This window comes from Homo sapiens, chromosome 5, assembly GCF_000001405.40.
Source record: "Homo sapiens chromosome 5, GRCh38.p14 Primary Assembly".
Taxonomy (NCBI): Eukaryota; Metazoa; Chordata; class Mammalia; order Primates; family Hominidae; genus Homo; species Homo sapiens.
Genome location: NC_000005.10, coordinates 127,370,513 through 127,393,579, shown reverse-complemented (window position 1 = coordinate 127,393,579; position 23,067 = coordinate 127,370,513). Strand labels below are relative to the sequence as shown.

The window sequence follows — 23,067 nt, the reverse complement described above, 5'->3', positions numbered from 1 at the left end:
TCAACATGGTCTATTCAGGAAAAAAATCCACATGTTTACAGACAAATAGGTATAAGAACAAGTAGGACACAGAAACCTGGGTTGAATTCAGACATTACCGTGACTTCCTTTCCTTTCTTCATTTGTCATATTTAACCACTTCAATGCATCCATTTTTAAATGTATCCCAGTGAGTTACACAGTCTACAGCATATAAGCCAGCTCTCATCCCTGATAACTACAAGGGTACACTGACTTTGTCTAGACTGGAGGCAGAATTCATTCCTTATGTTTAGTGCAGAATTTGACCAGTTATCCTGAATTCAAGTACCACATTTGGAGAGACAGCTCGGAGAAGGTCTGAATTCAAACTATCTGACATCTTTTCCTTAACACCTCACTCTAATCTCACAGGGCAAGAGTTTCTTTCACTCCACAAGAGAAAGTGACTGGTTGGCTATTCCCACTAACAACTTAGAAAATATATAGTTAACATGAAAATAGCTTGAGTATCCTAATTTTTAAAAAAGAAGTAAAGGAACAGAATTTTATTTCAGATTAAATTGAAAGTGACCTAAATGCTAGTGAGCAAGTGCCGACTCATTTTCAGCCTCTGGTTTCAGTTCTAACTGCACTAACCGCCGGAAATGGGCTCTCAGATGCAAGATGCCCAGATTCATGCAGATATTTCATGGAATGGCTTAATGAGAGTCTCAGACAGGCACAGACAGCTTGCTCTAATAAGCTCTCATAATAAGTTGGAAGTTTAAACTGCTGGGTACTACTTGGATTACATATAATCCAAGCTCCAGTCCGTAAGTGAAAACTAGTAGAGAACTGGATCTTCTCAAGACAATAGACTCACATTGGAACCCTTACGGTTATAACTTCCAATACCCCAGTAACCCCAGGTTACATTCACGGGCTGGGTACTGAAGTTCATTCAAGTGATATTTTTTAAGTACCTGTCATGTATCAGACATGGTGCTAGACTGGAATTCAAAGGAAAATAAAGAGCACAGGCTTCTAGCGGCTTTCCATTTAATGACAGAGACACCAAGTCTGAAGCAATACAATACTGAATAATAAGTAATAAGGTCAGGGGATGGCTTAGGTACAACGGAAAACATAAGGAGATGGTACTTAACCAACCAGTGTTGGTGCATCAGAAAAGGCTTCCCAGCTAAACTGATGCCTAAACTGAGACCAAAAGGCAGGGTGTGCCACATTTAGGTACAGGGTAGAGGACTGTTAAGTAGGAAGTCTGGGTGTGAGGGGTGCAGGGGCTGCAGGGAATGATACATGCAACAGCCAAAAGTTTATCAACACGAACTTGATTCTCTCTGCTATTGTACTATGGCCATTATCATTTTCACAGCTCTGTACACAACAAAAAGAAGTAGAAATAACTATGGAGAGATAGTAGACCTGTCCTCTTGCTCCCTCAGTACTCCCCAGCCTTCGAAATGCAGCTCAGGAAACTCTGTCCTTAGGCACACTTTTGAGAACCGATCTAAGATGCTCTCTGAAAATGGCATTATCTATTTTCCATGGCATTCACTTTGAACTCAGATGATAATTTTTCTTTATTTTACTTTTTGTAGAGATGGGGTCTCACGATGTTGCCCAGGCTGATCTTGAACTCCAGGCCTCAACAGATCCTCCAGCCTTGGCCTCCCAAAGTTCTAGGATTACAGGTGTGAGCCACTGTGCCCAGCAACTAGTTCATAATCTTTATATTTGCTTGCCTTGTTCTGTAATTTCCAAATGAAATGGAATTTCATAGATGTTAGGATGCAATGACACTCTTTCTTCATTTCAGCAGAGTCAATAGAAGGTTTTGTACAATCATGAATGACAGTCATCTGTTTGACGATGATGATTAGATGCATTCTGATTTCAGAGGTGAAAATCTGTGCACCCTGAGTCATAATAATAATAATAATAATGTTGAGACTGATACTTACAGTGATAATGGTAGCCTCTCCCTTTGTGTGGAAACCAGCACTCTCTTTTTTTTTTTTTTTATTTTAGACAGGGTCTCACTCTGTCACCCAGGCTGGAGTGCAGTGGTGCGATCTTGACTCTCTGCAGCCTTAACCTTCCCTGGGCTCAAGTGATCCTCCCACCTGAGTAGCCGGGACTATAGATGCATGCTGCCATGACTGGCTAATTTTTTGTATTTTTGGTAGAGATGAGGTTTCATCATGTTGCCCAGGCTGGTCTTGAACTCCTGAGCTCAAGCTATCTGCGCACCTTGGCATCCCAAAGTGCTGGTATTACAGGAATGAGCTGCTGCACCCAGCTAGAAACCAGCACTCTTATATAGTACTACAGGACAGTAAATTACCACATCCTTATTAGAAATTAGTCTGGCAAAGTCTAATAAAGCCCCTTTACCATAAATTCTTCTCTTGGGAGTTTTTCCTAAAGAAATAAGCATGTATGTGTGTGTGTGTGTGTGTGTGTGTGTGTGTGTGTGTGTGTGTGTGTGTGTGCGCGCGCGCGCGCGCATGTGTGTATGTATGTATATATACACATAAAGACAATAACCGTTCATAAAAGATAAATAGCTAACTCATTAATAATACCTTAGCATGCCCACAGACACTGTTCCAAGCATCGTGATAGATTAACTCTCATAGTGACCCTATGAAACAGGTGCTATTGTTGTCCCTATTATGTAGATGAAGAAATTGAGATCCAGGTGACTTGCTCAAAGTTACGCAGGTAGCAAGGGGTGAAGCACAGACCTCCTGCCTCCAGAGTCCGTGTTCTAAACCACTATATTTCACTCTCTCCAAAGCTATAAGGACATTTATCCTAGCACTGATTATAACAATAAATTGAAAACAACCTAGTTTTCCAGGAATAGGCAGCTGGTGAAAAAATTGTGGTACAGTCATACAATGGAATACTATCGATTAATTAAATGATTTTTATAGAAGATGATTTTATGAACTGGAACCATATTTATGATATCATAATTATAAAAAGTAGATTTTAAAAAGGCCAGGCACAGTGGCTTATGCCTGTGATCCCAGCACTCTGTGAAGCTGAGACAAGAGTATCATTTGAGGTCAGGAGTTAGAGACCAGCCTGGAAAACACAGCAAGCCCCTATCTCTACAAAAATATACAAAAATTAGCCCAGCGTGCTGGCTTGCACTGGTAGTCTCAGCTACTCAGGAGGCTAAGGTGGCAGGATCACTTGAGCCCAGGAGGTTGAGGCTGCAGTGAGTCGTGATTGCTCTACTGAACTCCAACCTGGATGACAGAGTGGGATTCTGTCTCAAAAAAAAAAAAGATGCCCCATGTAATCCAATTTTAGCAATATATCAGAATGAACCTGATGAAACTGCCATTAATTTAGGTAAGGATGCAGCAACTGCATATGGTTGAAACTACTATCTGGGGAAAAGAGGGAAAAGGGTTAAAATGAGAAAGAGAGACAGAGCTACAGTGAAATGGCATCAGTGGGTATCTCTGGGTCTTGAGATTATGCATGATTATTCTTTTATTCATTTGGTTTAACCAGGTTTTCTAAATGTTTTACAGTAAATATGTATCCTTTTGGCAGTAAAAGAAAATCAAGCAGTAAGGTTTTTTAAATGGTTCTATCTGCTGGGCATTTACATCATGCCAGGTTCAGTGCTTTATGCTTTACATATCTCTTCCTTTTTAAAAAGGAAGTATATGTGCGGGTTTGTTATGAAGGTAAACTCATGTCATGGGGGTTTGTCATACAGATTATTTCATCACCCAAGTACTAAGCCTAGTACCTAATAGTTATTTTTTTCTGATCCTCTCCCTCCTCCCACCCTCCACTTGCCAATAGGCCACAGTGTCTGTTGTTCCTCTTTATGTGTCCATGTGTTCTCGGTATTTAGCTCCCACTTATAAATGAGAACATGCAGTATTTTGTTTTCTGTTCCTGCATTAGTATGCTAAGGATAATGGCCTCCAGCTCCATCCATGTCCCTGCAAAGAACATGATCTCATTCTCTTATATGGCTGCACAGTATTCCATGGTGTATTTGTAGCACCTTTTCTTTATCCAATCTGCCATTGATGGCCATTTAGGTTGATTCCATGTCTTTGCTATTGTGAACAGGGCTGCAATGAACATTGACCTGCATGTATCTTTATGTTGGAACAATTTATATTCCTCTGGATATATACCCAATAATGGGATTCTTGGGTTGAATGGTAGTTCTGCTTTCAGCTCTTTGAGGAATCACCACACTGTTTTCACAATAATTGAACTAATTTACACTCCAACCAACAGGGTATTCCCTTTTCCCAACAACCTCGCCAGCATCTGTTATTTTTTGACTTTTTAATAGTAACCATTCTGACTGGATTACAGCTATTTCTAGTCCTCATGACAATTATGACAAGCACATAGAGGATATTTAGGATTAGAACATTTAGGTAAAATGTCCCAAAACTAGTCAGTGGTGGCATCAGTACTCAAACCCAAGGCTTTCTGCATACAAAAGGTCAAGGGCTTTACATGAGGCCATTCTGCTCCTGAAGTGCTGAAATGATATGTTTCGGTTAAGTATAATATTCCACCATTATATTTCTCATCTAATATGAAACCAGCACTCTTTCTAAGGCAGAGCAACAAATGATTAATGATTCACTGAGTAAGGCTTTGGGGGTCAGCCAATTACTCAGTATTTAGGGACACTGAGAAAGAAATTACCTCAGTAGTGAGAACATAAGACATTTCTCAAAGAAAAAATAAAATTGGCCAGGGGCAGTGGCTCATGCCTGCAATCCCAGCACTTTGGGAGGCTGAGGCGGGTGGATCACGAGGTCAGGAGATCGAGACCATCCTGGCTAACACGGTGAAACTCTGTCTCTACTAAAAATACAAAAAATTAGCCGGGCATGGTGGCGGGTGCCTGTAGTCCCAGCTACTTGGGAGGCTGAGGCAGGAGAATGGTGTGAACCCAGGAGGCGGAGTTTGCAGTGAGCTGAGATCGCGCCACTGCACTCCAGCCTGGGCGACAGAGCCAGACTCTGCCTCAAAAAATAAATAAATAAATAAATAAATAAATAAATAAATAAATAAAAAGAAAAAAGAAAATTAAGGAGCTAGCCAGATTTGAAGAGCTTCTAGAAGTTGATAATAATTCTATGTAGGCTGGGCATGGTGGCTTACGCTTGTAATTCCAGCACTTTGGGAGGCTGAGGTGGGTGGATTGCTTGAGCTCAAGAGTTAGAGACCAGCCTGGGTAACATGGCGAAATCCCATCTCTATAAAAGATGCAAAAGTGAGCTGAATGTGGTGGCATGCACCTGTAGTCCCAGCTACTCAGGAGGCTGAGGAGGAAGGATTGCTTGAGTCCAGGAGGTCGAGGCTGCAGTGAACTGAGATGGTGCCACTGCTCTCCAGCCTGGGTGACAGAGTGAGATCCTGCCTCAAAATGATAATAATGATAATACTATACAAACAAAAAAGCTAGAAAGCTTGCTATGAACATAGTATCAATGTCATTAGCTTTAAGAGTATATGGATCTGAAAATTAGGCCCATGTAGTACCTGGCACATGGCTGGCATTCAGAAAATATCTGGTGAATAAATGAGAGTGATTGTGAGTGTAGAGCGCTATAACTTTCACAAGCAGAGAAACCCAGAAAATCATCATCAAAATTCTAGGTACATTCTTCTCTCCTAACCTGCCTCAAACCCTCAGCCTAATTTTCCATGCAAACGACACGAAACAGAGAGTGGAGCGGGAGGCTTTCTAAGATACATTGAGTTTCTAACATGTGCCAGGCATTATTACATTATGAGGGACATTATGCAGCTATTTTATTTAAACCTCACAATAACTCAATGAGTTAGATATAATTATTCCAATATTTCCATTTGCAAAATGAACTCAAATGGCAATTTGCTCAAAGCCACTTGGCGTTTGAGTGGCAAAAGCAAGGGTTCAACCCAAATCCATCAATGCAATGTCTCCAAAGCTGCAATCATCCCTTATGCCACGCTGAACACCCCAAAGAAGTGATGGTCATCAATTACAAAACCGGAATCAGTGCAGATTAACTGCTTCTGCCTGGTTTTCAAAGGGGAACATTCTAGAACAAATGTCTCACAACTGTTTATCTGAGAAATAATAGTTGTTTGCTTAAAATGACAGTTCCCAGGCTTCAAGATGTAGCAGCAGGTTCATCAGAATAGTTTTGATAAGGAATATCCTATCATGTCCATAATCACACAGGTATTGACAAAAAAACAAGGCATTAGAAAAAGTCTTTGAACACATGGAGAGAATCTAGTAAATCTCTTGTTTTCAGGTAGACAAAGGACAAGAAAGGGGGCACGATTAGAGATAAACAGAAATGTTAAATGGAGAGGTGCTCTGGAGGAAGGAATAAGGGTACATTAATACATTGTCTCATCCAAAGGACTCTATCAGCAACCAACCAAGCAATTGATAAAAATAGATGAACTCATTTTGCCCTTTAAGAAAGAAGTGATGTTTACCATCATGTTCACCTTGTTACAAAATTCCTCAATCACTAGCTGGCTCAAGGAGGGACTGTAGCCTCTTTACATTGCCTAGACCTGGGCCCTAGCTAGCCCATGGCCAATTCATCGCTACAGAACCTTGGGGTAGTCCCCAACCTTTATTTGTTGTAAAATGAAGATGGTGGAACACACTAATTACACAAAAAGTACTTTTTGTTATATGTGACACTGCACAGATCTAGTAACAGCAGAAATTCCCTGATTTGCACATTGGGATGTCCCAGCCCAGCAAAAAGAATGCCCTAGAAAAACATCCTCCAACTGTGTATGAAGCTGCACTAACGTGTCTGACCTTGGTTTGTATTATTTGTTTGTCTTGCATGAATCATTCATGCCAGAAAGGACAACTTAGTTCTCACAATGTAAAATTTCAAAAACGAAATTGCCCAGTAACTCTATCAAGAAAAAAACAAGGCTTGGACCTTTTATTCATTTTTACAAAGACAACTGGAGTGAGTTCAGGCCTGCAAGGAAACCCAGAACTACTTTACATTTAGTCTTTTTCATTGCCAATTAAAAACTGGAGTTTAGACATTTCCTACTTGCTGGTGACTGTATGTCCAGAAGTGTAGGCTTGTATATGGGGTCCGGAAATATGAAAGGAGAAATAAACAAAAACATGACTTTCTTAGCAATCCCCACTTCAGTATAAAAAGATGTCATAAATAAAATCTGGACAGCATTGCCAAATTGAGAGGCACCAAATAATCTCACTGCCTTGATTTTTCTTCAGTTTATCTATGCCCATGGTTCACCAACTAAGACAACAGATACAACCTTGAAATGCATTTTGAACTGTAAGATGCTTATTAAAGGAACTGATTCTAAATGACAGCAACAGAAATGCCCAGTTCTGTGTACCTGTACTAGGTGTAAACAAACCCTAGGTGAACTGAGCAGGTCAGGTGTTTTTTATTGTTTGTTTTGTTTGTTTGTTTTTAGAGACAGGTTCTCACTGTGCTACCTAGACTGGAGTGCAGTGGCACAAACATAGCTCACTGTAACCTCTAACTCCTGGGCTTGATCGATCCTCCCACCTCAGCCTCTAGAGTAGCTAGAACTACAAGAACATGCTACCATGCCCAGATGATTTTTTAAAAATATTTTGTAGAGACAAGGTCTCACTACGATGCCCAGGCTGGTCTTGAACTCCTGGCCTCAAGCAGTGCTCCTGCCTGGGCCTCCCAAAGTGCAGGGATTATAGTCATGAGCCACCATACACAGCCACGTTGTTGTTATTGTTGTTGTTTTAAAGTCTTAGTTTAATAGCCTTGGGATCTAATTGTTGAATTACATAGGGGTCAAGAACTTTAAGATACATCTCTACCAGATACTTACAGTGGGATAACATATCAAATCTTAGAACTCAAGCTTATCATAGGGAAAGAGATGTCCGCTTATAATACATAACTAACCCCACTGGTGTTACTGTTTGCAATAACTAACACTACATATGCCTTCAATATTATAAATGTCGGCCCGGCACAGTGGCTCATGCCTGTAATTCCAGCACTTTGGCAGGCCAAGTCGGGCAGATCACCTGAGGTCAGGAGTATGAGACCAGCCTCGCCAACATGGCGAAACCCCATCTCTACTAAAAATACAAAAATTAGCCAGGCATGGTGGTGCGTACCTGTAATCCCAGCACTCAGGAGGCTGAGGCAGGAGAATCACTTGAGCCAAGATCACACCACTGCATTCCAGCCTAGGCAACAGAGTGAGACTCTGTTTCAAAAAAAAAAAATTATAAATATCAAGTATTTATTAGGATGCATCAAAATCAGTATACTGACTTGACAATATATATTTATATGAGGTTTGGCTATAATGTTCTCCATGGACTTTAAACATAGGAAAATCCATGACTATGAGATAAATTAATAGAGAAGAAAATTTAATACTTTATAGTCTAAAACATGGGCAAAGTACAAATAAGTCACTTTCAAGAAGATATCTCTACAGAGTGCCTTTTAGAGGAGACCAAAATAATTTTCCACTGTCTCAAAGGATAGAAAAACATGGTTCTTCCTGAAACATACACCCTTTCTTCTTAAGCCTCAGTTCCCTGAGGGTCTTTTATCTCCCTGGGATTTCATTCCTTGCGCTTCAGGCTAACAAGGCTGTGGTGTGTCATTCCCTTTGTTAATGGTAGAAGAAAAGATCCTCATTCAAAACATCAAGCACTTTAAAAATAAAACAACTTCATAAAGCTTTTCCATCCATGAAGAAGAACAATAAAAATGTATTTTCCAGATACTCTGAAAGCACTAAAACCCCACGTCCTTCACATGTCAAAAACCCCTCTGGAGAGCTGACAGAGTGCCAACGATCACCGTGGACAACCACCCAGTGCTGTTTATATTAATTTTATTCAGTGACTGAGAGAGAACCTTTATTCTTCTTTTAAAATGTTTGTTAAATGAACTGTCATTTTATAACTTCAGTGTAAGCTTATCTCAAATTATGAACCAGAAAAAGGGGTGTAAAATATTTATTCTCTATTGTGCTGAAGTGCAAATGTTGATGTGTCTCTATGACAACATATTGATGACCCTATTCACGGTGCAGGAAAATCTCAAGGATATAACTTGTAGGCTAAAGTTACATAATTTGGGAGGATTACATTCATTCACTGATGTGAAAAGAAGAATAACAACCTCAGGAGCCCTTATAAGATGTCTTGCTATAAAAAGTCTTGTCATATTTTTATTCTGTTGATCATTTATTCTTTCATTAAAGATTTGTTAAGCATCTTCTCTGGCTACGAAGTTCTATTTATTGAGCACTTACTACTTGCTCCTTACCAAGACATGTACCATAGCTAAGATTTCCTTATCTATTGGAAGAGACTGGCCCACAGTGAGATTTATCACAAAAGAATGTGCTAGGTGTTACGAGACAGGATTGCACACATTGCTGGGAACATAGAGGACCTATGTCCATGTACCTTTGGGCAGTGGAGAGAAAGGAGGGGGAGAGAAGGTTTCCCAGAGGAAGTAGGAATTGAGATGAATATTAAAGGATGAATATTCAGGACCACTGTTGTGAAAATGCTTATCTTCCTTCTGGACACATGAGGATAAAGGATAAAGGCTTTCAATGACTTCCCTAAAATCTCAGAGTAAGAAAACTAGAATCCTTAATGCTAATTGTTTGGTCTGAAAGATTTAATATGGTTTTCTTGAGAAAAAAATTTAAACGATGGGACTATGAGAGACTACGAATAATGCTATAACAAAGGCTCATGTACCCACAGCAGAGACTTAACTGTTTATGAACATTGTATAACATTTGTTTCCTCACTGAATTCAAGAAATAAAACATGGCAGATAAAGTCCTATCTGACTCCTTTGTGCCTGGTTCCCAGCTCTTTCCCTACCCTTTTCCCAAAGGTAAATGCTGTGATAGTTTTAATATATGTTCTTCTGGTTTGTGGGTGTGTTGGGGGGTGTATTTAGAAATAAGATATAGAATTATTTTATATATGTATTAGCTTTATATAAAATGTTCATGTTGCTGTGAATCTTTTGTTTTCACCCAATATTATGATATTGAGATTTACTTTTTATTTTTATTTATTTATTTATTTATCTCACTCTGTCTCCGAGGCTGGAGTGCAGTGGCATGAGCCTAGCTCACTGCAGCCTTGAACTCCTCAGCTCAAGTAATACCCCCACCTCAGCCTGCTTGGTAGCTAGGACTATAAGCTGATTAATAATGATAAATCTGCTAATATAATGGAATGCTATATACAAGTTTATAGTAACGGAGTTCATTATTATACTATAAACTGCTATGTAACATTTCACTACATTAACAGCCTCCAAAAAATTTACCTTTTCCCATATACACAGATATTTTTAGTTGTTTCCAAATTTTCACTGTTAAAAAGATGCAAATAATCTATCTCCTAATACATGTTTCCACAAAATATATAAACAAATTATAAAGAAGTAGAAATAAAAATTGCTGGGTTACATGGTCCACACATTAAAATTCTACTCTAGACATAGTCAAATTGATCTCTAAAGTTACTCTGCCAATTTGCCTTCATGGAAGTGGTATGTGGAAGCTTCCTTTCACATCCTTGGCAACACTTAACTTTTTAACCATTGCCAGACTTCTTAACCATTGCCAATCTGATGGTGAGAAATGACATCTTGTTTCTTTATTATGTACTTTCCTGTTATTACAAAGATTAGCATATTGTCATGTTCATTGGTCAATCAGGTTTCTCGCCTCTGAATTACCTTATCCTACCCTTTGCCTATTTTAAAGTTCAGAGGTTCTTTTACTTATTAATTTGTGGGGGTTCTTTACATATTTTATAAATAATCATTTGTCTGTTTACTTATGTGGCAAAAATATTTTCCTAATCTCTCACTTCTCCTTTAACTTTGCATATAGTATCTTCTGTCTTAAAAATCTTTTAAACTCTGATGTGGTCTAAATATTCTAAAAGCTAATTTAAGGCATGGATAAATCTGCTTATATAATACTGATTTTACCACATAAGTTTCTTTTTTCTTAAAATGGCTGCTTTTCTTTAATGTATGAACAAAAATTTCCAATTATATACTAACATCAAGTTCAAATCAATTCCATTAAAATTTAGACTTTCTTTACAAGCTACCTACCTCCACTAGTTTTATGCAAAAATAGTGAGTAGTAAAACCATTTGGTTTTCACAGAATTTTAAGATGACACCATTTATTTATGGACCAAGAGCTATGTTCTTATAAACTCTACTATTTGTTCTACTGGAATAGTCTATATAACTAGGACAAATATTATTGTCTTTTTACTTCTGCCCTTCATGAGTTTTATCCATCTCAAGAACACTTAATTTTCTCCAGGCTATAGGCACAAATGTTCAAACTCATTAAAATTAACTAGGTTGTGTATGAATTTTAAAAATACTTTGATCAAAGAAGGAAAAAGAGTCATTAGCTTTTGGGGGGAAATTCTGACCTGGGGAAATTTTCAAGTGTTTTAAAAAGTTCTTTAACACACTCACAAAAAATAAGATATCAGATATAGCCATGACAGACGCCGAATTATAAAAATAAACCAGAACAGGCTGGGTGCGGTGGCTCACGCCTGTAATCCCAACACTTTGGGAGGCCAAGGTGGGTGGATCATTTGAGGTCAGGAGTTTGAGACCAGCCTGGCCCACATGGTGAAACCCCACCTCTACTAAAAATACAAAAATTAGCTGAGCATGGTGGTGGGCTCCTGTAGTCCCAGCTACTCAGGAGGCTGAGGCAGGAGAATCACTTGAACCAAGGAGGTGGAGGTTGCAGTCAGTTGAGATCACGCCACTGCACTCCAGCCTGGGTGACAGAGCGAGACTCTTGTCTCGAGAAAAACAAAAACAAAAACAAAAAGAAACAACAACAAAACACAATAAAATAAACTACAACACCTAGTTTCAGCCAATGGACAGTGGACAGTATAATCCCCTGAGACAAGACACACATGGCTCTATTAGAATCGGGCAGTAGCCCAAGACAGTAGGAGAGGGAAACAAGCAGGTCTACAGCACCATCTCGTACATATCATCACTTCACTCTGAGCACGGCAGCCAGCAAACACATTGGTACAGTCAGAAAATGGTTTGTATATGTTTCATGTATATGTTTATATGAAAGAAATTATAAAGATTTATGATCTAATATTTCTGCTCCCTGTACAAACATTCTTTTAAACCGGGCTGTTATTTCCTGCTATTTATTTAATTAAAGAGGAGTCTAAGAAGATTAATGAAATTCGACTCATCACTATGTGATTAGAAATAATTTGTAGTCTGCATTTCTTTGCCTAATTTCTTACTGTTCATTTGCAGTTTGTATGCATTTGTACACCATTTGGGTACAAATTTAACAACTAAGTTCTACATCCTCACATAGAATTTCCACCTTGAGAAGTAATATGAGAAAGTTTAGATAGCAAAATTGTTAAATATTCTCCACTCAAACAAGGGCTGATTTTCAAACACCTTCCTTAGTCATGGGGCCACCATTTCAGAAGTCACTCCTCCCTCTCAGTAATAACCTTGATGTTTACATTATAATTTTTTCTCTCTTGAGGGTGAAGAACTCCGAGACACACATTTTCCTCAAAGTTCACAGAAATCACACCCAGTACATCTTGCCTGACTTCTATAATTTCATTGCAGCTACCAGTCTATGGCCAGGGGATCTTCTGCCAAGTCATTAAGAATGAATGTGTCAGCTGGGCGCGGTGGCTCACACCTGTAATCCCAGCACTTTGGGAGGCCGAGGCGGGCGAATCATGAGGTCAGGAGTTCGAGACCAGACTGGCCAACATGGTGAAACCATGCCTCTACTAAAAATATAAAAAGTTAGCTGGACGTGGTGACAGGCACCTGTAATCCCAGCTACTTGAGAGGCTGAGGCAGGAGAATCGTTTGAACCCAGGAGGCGGGGGTTGCAGTGAGCCAAGATTGCGCCACTGCACTCCAGCCCGGGTGACAATGCGAGACTCCATCTCAAAAAAAAAAAAGAAAAGGAAAGAAAAAAAAGAATGTGTCTACACTGCACATAGCCAAGGTGCGTCCTGAAGCCACAGAAGCCTGAGCAACCTTAGGCCACTGAAGGAAGGACTTCGCATCACGCCCTCTCTGTCGAAAACCTTTGGTCCCTTCCTCCCTGGCTGCTTCGGATGCTTTGCCAATCTGTTTGTTTACATACTTCAGCTCCTCTATCAAACTAAGAGCCCCTAAAAAGAAGAGGCAGTGTCTTACTCATCTCTCATGTCTCATTTTTATATCTGTCACTGCTCCTGGCACATTTACGCCTTCATTCCTTCCATCCACAAATATTTATTAAGCATAACTGAGTGCCCAGGACTGTGCTAGACATTCAGTGATAGCTAGACAGCAGGGATAAAACAGACAAAAACCCATGTTTTCATGGGGCTTACATCCTGGAGGGGAAGACAGACAAGAAAAAAAAAAAACAAGTTAACAAATCAAGTATTTTTAGAAAGTTCCTATTTAAAAACGTTAAAAAGGAGATATGATACAGAGTAATAGGGTCATACTCTGCATATGGAGGTCAGAGATAGTGTCTGTATGGTGGTGGCACTTAGGCTGACTAACTGACCTACAGAAGCCAGCCGTGTGGCCAGGCGTGGTGCCTCACACTCGTAATTTCAGCACTTTGGAAAGAAGCTGAGGTGGGCAGATCTCTTGAGGTCAGGAGTTTGAGACCAGCCTGGCCAACATGGTGAAATCCCATCTCTACTAAAAATACAAAAATTAGCCAGGCATGGTGGTGGGCGCCTGTAATCCCAGCTACTCAGGAGGCTGAGAGACAAGAATCACTTGAACCCGGGAGGCACGGGTTGCAGTGGGCTGAGATTGTGCCACTGCACTCCAGCCTGGGCAACACAGTGAGACTCCGTCTCAAAAAAAAAAAAAAAAAAAAAAAGAAGCTGGCCATATAAAGAACCAGGGAGATGAGTATTATTCTGAGCAGAGGAAATATCAAGTGCAAAGGCAAAAATAAGACGAGTGTGTTCCATAAATGAAGGGCAGAGACTGAGCAGTGTGATATCCTGAAAGGTAGAAGAATGAGAAGACATCAGGGAAACAGGAAGGAATAGATCATGCATGGCTAGATGGATTGTGCTCAGGGCTTTGGAGTGTATTCTAACTGTAAGGGGAAATTCCAGCCAGTTTTGGGAAGGAGAGCAGCATGCTCTAAAGTACATTTTTACAAGATCACGCTAGTCTCACTCTGGTCATAGATAATTGACTTGGGTGGCATCTGAGGAAGAAGCAGGGAAACCAGCAAAGAGACTACCGCGATCACCAGTTTAGAGAGAACGTGGCATGGACTGGAGTGGCAGCAGTAGAGATAATGAGAAGAGGTTGGATTGGGTTATATTTTGGAGTTGAACCAACAAGATTTGCTGAAAAATGAATATTGCACCAAGTATCAAAAAAAAAAAAAAAAAAGAAAAATCAATGAATGATATGAAGTGGAGTTAAACAACATGACAGCCCAGTCTTATCTTTAAAGCCACTGCATGAACTCACTAGCACAAGTAATTTAAACATCATTAGTATTCTCACTATGCCAGAAGCAATATAAACTGGATATGATTTCATCTGGTAAGGACATCTGTGATCAGAGGTTGGAAATAATGCACCAAAAAAAAAAAACCAAAAACAAAAACAAAATAAAACTTTACTAGGTCTTCTGTCTGGGGAATCTTGTGGCAAGCAACTGTGGACAAAGAGAGCCTCCATTTAAAGCAGGGTGTAGGGGGCGGGGCACGGTGGCCCATGCCTGTAATTCCCAACACTTTGGGAGGCTGAGGCAGGAGGATCTCTTGAGCCCCAGAGTAGGGACCTGCATGGGAGACATGGGGAGACCCTGCCTCTACAAAAAATAAAAAAATTAGCTGGGTTTGGTGGTGTGTGCCTGTTGTCCCAGCTACTCGGGAGGCTGAGGTGGGAAGATGGCATGATCCCAGGAGGTCGAGGCTGCAGTGAGCTATGGTCACACCACTGCACTTCAACCTGTGTGACAGAGCAAGACCCAGTCTCAAAAATAAATAAGTAAATAAAGAAGGGTGTGGCCTGTGAGACAGGAAGAGATGTCACAAAGGGCTGCCCCATCCTCTGTTCAGTCAAAAGACTGGGCCATGTGTGAAGAAGTGTGGTGTAAGCTATGTTTGTCACACAAGGAATCATAAGTAGCATTTACTTGTCATTATATACTGCCATGCACAGCACTGGCGAATACCTGTTAAGTCTTCATTTAATCCCCACAAGCCTATGAGTATAATAGATATTCTTATCCTTGTTCAAAGCATGAGGAAAGGGAGGCACAGAAACATCACAGAAAGGAGAGCAGTTAGGGGGATAGCAATTCCATTCCAGGGTGGGTGACAGAGGGTGGTGGTAGTAGTTCTTTGCCCCTCCTGAAAGTGGCAAAGAACAGTCCAAATTTTGGACTCCTTAGGAAAGGCAAAATCAGCAGTTTCTGTCTGTGACCTTTATCAAACTATTTGGATGGTCCATCAGTGAAACTACCTTTGGGACCGTTCTGATGAACTGTTCAGAACCCAATCCTTCCCAGTTATCATCATCAGCCTGACCCTAACACCAGTGAACCCAACTGATCTACTCTTATTCTTGCTGCTCCATCAACCTGATTTCGAAAGTAATTCTGACAGCGCAACAGGCCTGTTAATGACTGCAGCGAGGACTGGGCTCCCAGCGTCTACTCTCCGCAGACAGCATCGATCCCACCATTGTTGCCAGTCAATAGATCTTTACAGCAGACTTTGCTAGGAAATATGTCAGCTTTTTGTGCCTTATGTTTCTGGCTCATAATATCCTTCAAATGGATTCCCCCCATTCGAATATCCTGCAGGCAAAATCTTATTACTTTCTCCATGCTGTACATCATGCCTGCTTTACACAAAAGGTTATCAGTGTTCCTTACGCTGCACCTGAAAATGTTTGAGCTAGTCTTGCCTCCTAGGGATATTTTCACTACTGCCAAGTATATTTAACCGGAATGCTATTAGTGACTCAATAAAACCCAAGTTTGGAGTTTCTAGACCAAAGCTAATTTCTATTTTTGCCGCTATGTGGTACTAATGTCAAAAGCAAAGAGCCCGAGGGACAAGCATTTGAAAACCATATGCTGGCTGATTTAGGACTCTACCATTTGTGCCCTATAGCTGTAGGTGAAATAGATTTCTCTATAGATGTTTGGGAAATTATAAATAGGATTATATGGAATAAGAAAACAAATGTGTTACTGCTATTCATACAAAAGGTTTAAAGGGTTTCCATCACAAAGAAAGATCTCAGGAGTTGCATATACATATTGCTTAAAGTAAGTCATACATAAAATCACAGAATTGAAAAGGATCATAAATAGAATCTGCCCCAACATTCACAAGATTATGAATGAGGAAAGTCTAGATGGGTGCCATTATGAATTCATCATCTCTAGTATTAATGGGCCCTCAACGTCTCTCAGAGGGTTTGTTTTCATAATCGTCCGGTGTCATCTGCCCCTGTCTCCTGCTCTCATTCTCCTCACTGTTGCTGATTCTTGCTACTTTCAGTAAACCTGTTTTCCAACTTCCGTTAGCCCCATACCACGGTGATTAAAGTTACTGGCTCTGAATGAGATGCAAGTTTGGCTCCACCACTTAATAGATACATAAATTCAGGCAAGTCACCTAAATGTTCTGCACCTCCGTTTCCTCATCTGTAAACTAGGAACAATAACTGCAACCATCTTATAGTATGTTATGGCCATTAAGAGAGTAATTCCTGTAAAGCTCTTATAATGATGATTGCATATCAAGTGTTCAATAAAGGTGAACTATTACTATCATCATGATCATCAATGTAACCGCCCTTCTGCCCCCTTTTATATCAGCAGACTCTCTCTCCTGACAGTTTATCAAGAGAAGGAAGGTCATCTGATATAGACTTCCTCAGATTCTCCATCCCATTGCCCACCAGCACCCCTGATACCTAGAAACCTGTTTACACCTATTCTGGCCATGGTTTTCTTCCTCATTCTATTGGGAATGGGCAGTACTCCTTACTAATCTCTCTGTCAGTGCCCAGGATCCCATCCCATCTGCCAGCTGTCTTCTCAGGTGCCTTGTTGCCTCTATTCCGCAATCCACTCTCTCAACCCAGTCTCCAGCCTCTCCCTCTTTTCTTTCACCATCTTCTCAGCTTCTGAGTCTTTTTTCACCTTAAAACATAGACAAAGGCATGAAAACAAAAAACTTTTTCTTGACCGTACACTTACTTCTTACTAACTCTCTATTTCTTTGCTTCCTCTCCTTGGCTTCTCAGAGAAGTTTCTGGAAGAGTAGTCTATTGCAATCTGTTTTCTGTCCCCAACTGAAAGTGAAGGGCTGTACACTCTTAGCCCTTGTCTCCCTTGTCCACTCAGAAAATCTCTCACTACCTTATCTGACTCCATCCAGTTTCCCTCAATCTACTTCTTCTACAGAGGCAGTTCTCTTTCTTTCACTTTATTTTTCTCCCAAGCTATGAGCTCTGTCAGAGCAGCAACCATTACTCATTTGTTCCTTTATCCCCAGCATTCAATGCAGTCCCTTGCACACAGTAATCATTCAATGAAAGTTCACAAAATGAACACATGAATGACCTTCTCAGAATCATATAGAATCATATGGTTCCTTCAATCTAATTAAATGGAAGTTTTACTGTGCTCCAACCACATGCCAGGCACAATGGAGGCTTACAGAGATTAATAACATATGGCCTTTGCCCTCCAGGAGTTGTTTATCATCCAGTGAGGGGAGAAGAGCAATGGAGGATTGATGCATGGGCAGATAAATTGATGGGGGGAAGAACAGAGCTAGAGCAGGGAAGAGGGGAGGGAAGAAGGAGATGGGATAAAATAGATTAATGTCATTCACTCATAAAAGCTAGGATACGCATTAGGATGCCAATAAAGGTAAAACACATGTGTGCTTTTTAAAAACAATAATTTAATCAAATTTAAAAAGAAGGAATATGTCTAAGCCTAGTCAAATAAATCATGATTTCATTTTGGGAGAACAAACTTTTTACAATTCTCTGACATACCTGGTTTTTTATACAGAGAATACATTGAGACCCAGGAAAGCCAGGAACACTGACTGTTTGTCACAGGCAGGAACCCTTCCCTCAGCTGCCAAGGCAAACAGACATATCAAATCTCAAAGAGAAGCCTTTTGAAATTGGACTGAAAGTATTTGTCAGTCCCTTAATCACCCATGTATTTTAGAAAGGAAAAAAAAAAGACAGCTATGTAGGACAGTTATCAATTGATTACCATCTGACCATTTTAGACTCCTAATGTCAGTAAAAGGAGTTAAACTTCTGGTTGGAGTGATTGATCCAGATTATCAAGGGAAAATTGGGTTGCTGCTGCACAGGGAGGGAACACCTAGGTCTGGAACCCGAGGATTCTGTGGAATACCTCTTAATACTCCCATGACAGTAATGAAGTTGATGACAAATGTCAACAACCAGAAAAAAGGCAGGACAAGTAGGAATGCAGATCTTTCAGTAATGATGGTTTGAGCCACTCCACCAGGTAAATAACCCCAAGTAACTGAAGTTTGGGCTGAGAGTGGGGGAAATATGGGATGGGAAGTAGAAGAGGGAAGCCATAGATATCAGTTACCACCTTGTGACCAATTACATGAAAGACATTTTTAATAGCTCTTAATGTTTGTTATTTGTTTGTTATATGCATATGTTTATTTTATTTGCTATTTTCTTTTTTTCCTTTCTGTTTTACATGCTAGTTGTTTCAAGTTAACTTTAGTATCTAGGAAACAGAATATTCAGTAGAACTGTGACTTAATTTGAAAAAAATTTAATATAACCAGCAATGAATCCAATGAATGTTGGGACTTGCATCTCCTCATTTTAGGAAGAGAGTATGAGCATGTTCACTTCTAAGATGAATTGCTGTATATTAGGTGGAAATACAGGGGTTTTTTTTATGTATAGGAATGCAAACATGTGTGGAGGGTGCATATAGGAATTGGATAACCAAAGGAGTATGCGTCAACAGTTATCAGTTTATTGCCTTTCAGCTCTAAATTTATCCTTCATTGCCTGCTCTACAAAAATGGGTATGTGCCCTCCAAATATTTTTCTATTGCTGGTTGGCCAAATGTTAAGTATTTTCAATAGGGGGCGCTAGAGAGACATTGCAAAAGGAGTTTTTCCATTCTACTTCCAGTGCACTCAGAGCACGTAGTGCACTTGTGCTCTTGGCTCCTAAAGCACCAAGCTTCTGCAATGTAAGCGCAGTGCCAATAGCTGCTCCAGTACCTGGCTCCTGGAGCACCTATGGCTTTTCCAATGCCTTGTTTCTGTAGCACAAATTGCTTATCCAGAACCAAGCTCTTGCAGCACGGACAGCTTCTCTAGCATACCGCTCCTGCAGTACACTGTGGCTAGCTGCACCCATCAGCCAATGACTTCCCCTTTTTTGTAGCAGAGTGCTTCTGGTGAGACTTTTCCATGAAGAGTTTTTTCCAAAGTCCTATAAAAGTCCTAGAGGGCATATTTCCAGCAAGTTCTGCTAGGATAGTACCACAGCACCTCTCTGGATCTGAGTGAGCTGTGACTGTGCCCTCTCCAGCAGGTCTGGATCGCACCCTTAGTGGGGTTTCCTTTTTGGACATTCTATGTCCACCTTAGAGGTAGTGGTTGCTTCTTATATCTGCTATTCCTATATTCTCTAGAGATCTATCTACTTCTTACTAGCCCATCCCTCATTACTCCAATCTCCTGTTATAGTTAGTTAATATTCTTTATATTAAACTTTCTCCTTTCCAGTTACTCTGTGTTGCAGTAGCAATGACCACACCAGCACCTAGATCTTGGTTTATAAATACCACTCTACAATAAAAGGTACCAAGGCTTCTTTGAAAAATAGTTCATTTTAGGGCTGCAGTAGGAAAAATTAAAAATTAGCCTGGAATATCTTCTAGCACCAGAAAGTAAGAAAGCACTCAAAATCAAAAAGATGAGTCATGTCAAAGGGACACAATGGGTTGGGCGCAGTGGCTCACACCTGTAATCCCAGCATTTTGGGAGGCCGAGGTGGGTGGATCAACTGAGGTCAGGACTTCAAGACCAGCCTGGGCAATATGGTGAAACCCCGTCTCTGCTAAAAATACAAAAATTAGCCAGGTGTGGTGGCACATGCCTGTAAGCCCAGCTACTAGGGAGGCTGAAGCATGAGAATTGCTTGAACCCAGGAGGCAGAGGTTGCAGTGAGCCAAGATCAGCCATTGCACTCCAGCCTAGGTGACAGAGCGAGACTCTAGTCTAAAAACAAAACAAAAAAAAGACACAATGGCCAAAGCTGGAATGACCTGGGCAACAAAATAAATTATGTAATACTGTTTTATAACCCAAAATGTCAAATAAATATACATGAGTTCTTACTGATATAAATAAATGTTTGAATAAATGCAGGAGAAGAAGCAAATCTTCCTTACAGAAAAATTCCAAATAATATAGGCAGATATTCCTTCCTCAAAGACATGGAGCTTGAGTCCTGCCCTTCATCCCTGAAGGCTCGATAGTCTTAGTGACTTGCTTCTGCAGAGTAGAGTACAGAAAGGGGAAAATTGTAACTTTATGTGGAGAAGCCTAGCACACTACCTTAACCAAGTGATGAAGGTTAACCAAGTGATGACACCAGTGATGTCACATGGATATCATGATATCATGTGAAGAGAAAGAGCACTTCAATTCTGGTATTCTCTTCAAAACTCATAACCCATGTCTGATCATGAGAAAAGCACCAGACAAACACAGATTGGGGAACATTCTACAGGATACCTGGCCAGTTCTCCTCTAGACTATCAATTTCAAGGTCATGAAAACAAGGAAAGACTGAGAAACTGTCACAGACCAGAGAAGACAGGGGAGACATGACAGTGAAATGTAGTGTGTTGGCCTGAGCTGGAATCCGGAAGAGAAAGAGGACGTTAGTGGAAAAATTGATAAAATCCAAATAACATCTGCAGTTGATTGAATAGTAATATACTATGGTCAGTTTCCCAGTTTTGACAAACTAATAGTAATTTAAGAAGTTAACAATGGGGGAGACTGGGTTTGAGCACACAGGAGCTCTGTACTATCTTTGCAACTTTTCTATAAGTCTAAAAGTGTTCCCAAATAAAACCAATTTGTATTTTAAAAATTTAAAAATTACTGTGGTTTCTATCTCCTAATTGGATCTTAAGTGATACAAGGAGCCAGTCTAATTATCAAAGCAATTATATTATGGATCTAATGTCCACCATCAAATTGATGCATAACAATAACCAAAGCAGGGGGGAGATGGAAATAGAATCCTTAGAAATTAGGCCATTTAAATTTTGCTAAGTAGCATATTACTAGACAATAGATTTTGGTTCCAGAATTATCTAGTCAAGAGTGAACAAAATGATACATTTCCTGACATTAGGTTGATTGCCACAGACAAAACCCAGATAGCAAGACCTATATTCTGGGTTCAGCTCAGAATATCGTTTTTTTACCTGCTTAAAAAGGTATCAAAGATGTTTTTCTCAGAACACCTTTAAACATTTCAGACATCTGTTCATGTTTATTTGTGCTTTTGTTCATCATAAAGCCAAAACGTGAGTTGTAAAAAATAAACTAAAAGTTGCTTCAATATCATATTTCAGTGTTAAAAGAACATCTGTTCTCAGAATTCTAGAGTCTTCATTAAACTCCAAAATAAAGCAACGGTTTATTTTCTAGAAGGTCCTAATCAGTTCTAGAGAGTCTGAAACCCATGTAGGCTTTTGTTTTGCTTACACAATCACTTCAGTCTGAGCCCTTAGCTCGAGGTAGTCTGCAATTCTTAGGAGACAAAGTATGAATACAACTGAAGTTATTCTGTGGCATTCTTGCCCTGGAATTAGTGGCAAACCACATAGTTTTAAATGACTAATACGCCCACTCTTCCCTATCCCACTAGTTTATAATAATGTTATTTTTCTTCAAGATGTCTAGGCACAACTGATTTTTAAACTGGAAAAGTTAATGAAAGCAACATCACATTTGAGGTCAGTCGGCCAGAAAAATGGACATGAGCCAAATCCCACATCCCAAACATTTTGCCTCAATGGCGTGTGAACAAAATGCCCACTCTCCTCCTGATTTCCAACAGAAGCAAAACAAAACCCTGCAAGACAGTTTTCCCCTGGAATTGAGAAGCCTGTCAGGGGCAGAAAGACACACACACACACACACACACACACACACACACACACACACACACACACACACAGTCCCAGTCCCTGTTTAAGGTACAGTTAAAAGGCTCTTTCACACCAAGTGTTCTGTGCACAGACAGCACAAGGGCTTCCCCTGGAGAAGCTGCTTCAAGGAGAGCCAAGAGATCACAAGTCCGAAACAAGTAGTCCTAGCAAGATAAAGAATAATCTCCCCAATTCCAAAATAAGCAAGTAAAAATTTTTAAAATCAGCTTATTGAAATAAGTCCATTCAGACTAATTTCAAAAAATTACTTGGTGGCAACGAAGAGAAATGTGTGCTCTCATGCGAACTTGCTAACTTTTTAAAACGATGGCTTCCTTTTTCAAAATGTAATGTTTCACGCATTACAATTTAGTTGCACTTTAATTCCTTCTCACGTTTCTCAAGGCGAAAAAAGAAGTATAAAGGAAAAGGAAGTGGATGCAATTACGTGTACAGCAACAAGTTAGCCAGAAGATTTTGGTTTAAACTGTGAAATTTAGAAAAGCAACTGTATTACATGACATTCCATGATATAATCTTTGTGATAATGCATATGAAATGTTACGTGTAGACTGCTTTTAGTCCAAAATACCATCATTTTAGAATTATAATTCTAACATAATGGAGACAAATTATATACTATGTTAGGAATTGATTTAACAAGTACCAAAATTTTCATGAATTTTCTTTTATTACAGATAAGTCTCC

At 39.9% G+C, this 23,067-nt stretch overlaps 1 protein-coding gene across 6 annotated transcripts in view; it reads right to left on the bottom strand.

Annotated features, from left to right (window-relative positions):
- MEGF10 (multiple EGF like domains 10) overlaps nucleotides 1-23,067 on the bottom strand; it is a 231,923-nt gene that overhangs the window by 67,643 nt on the left and 141,213 nt on the right. The gene's annotated exons all lie outside the window — the stretch shown is intronic.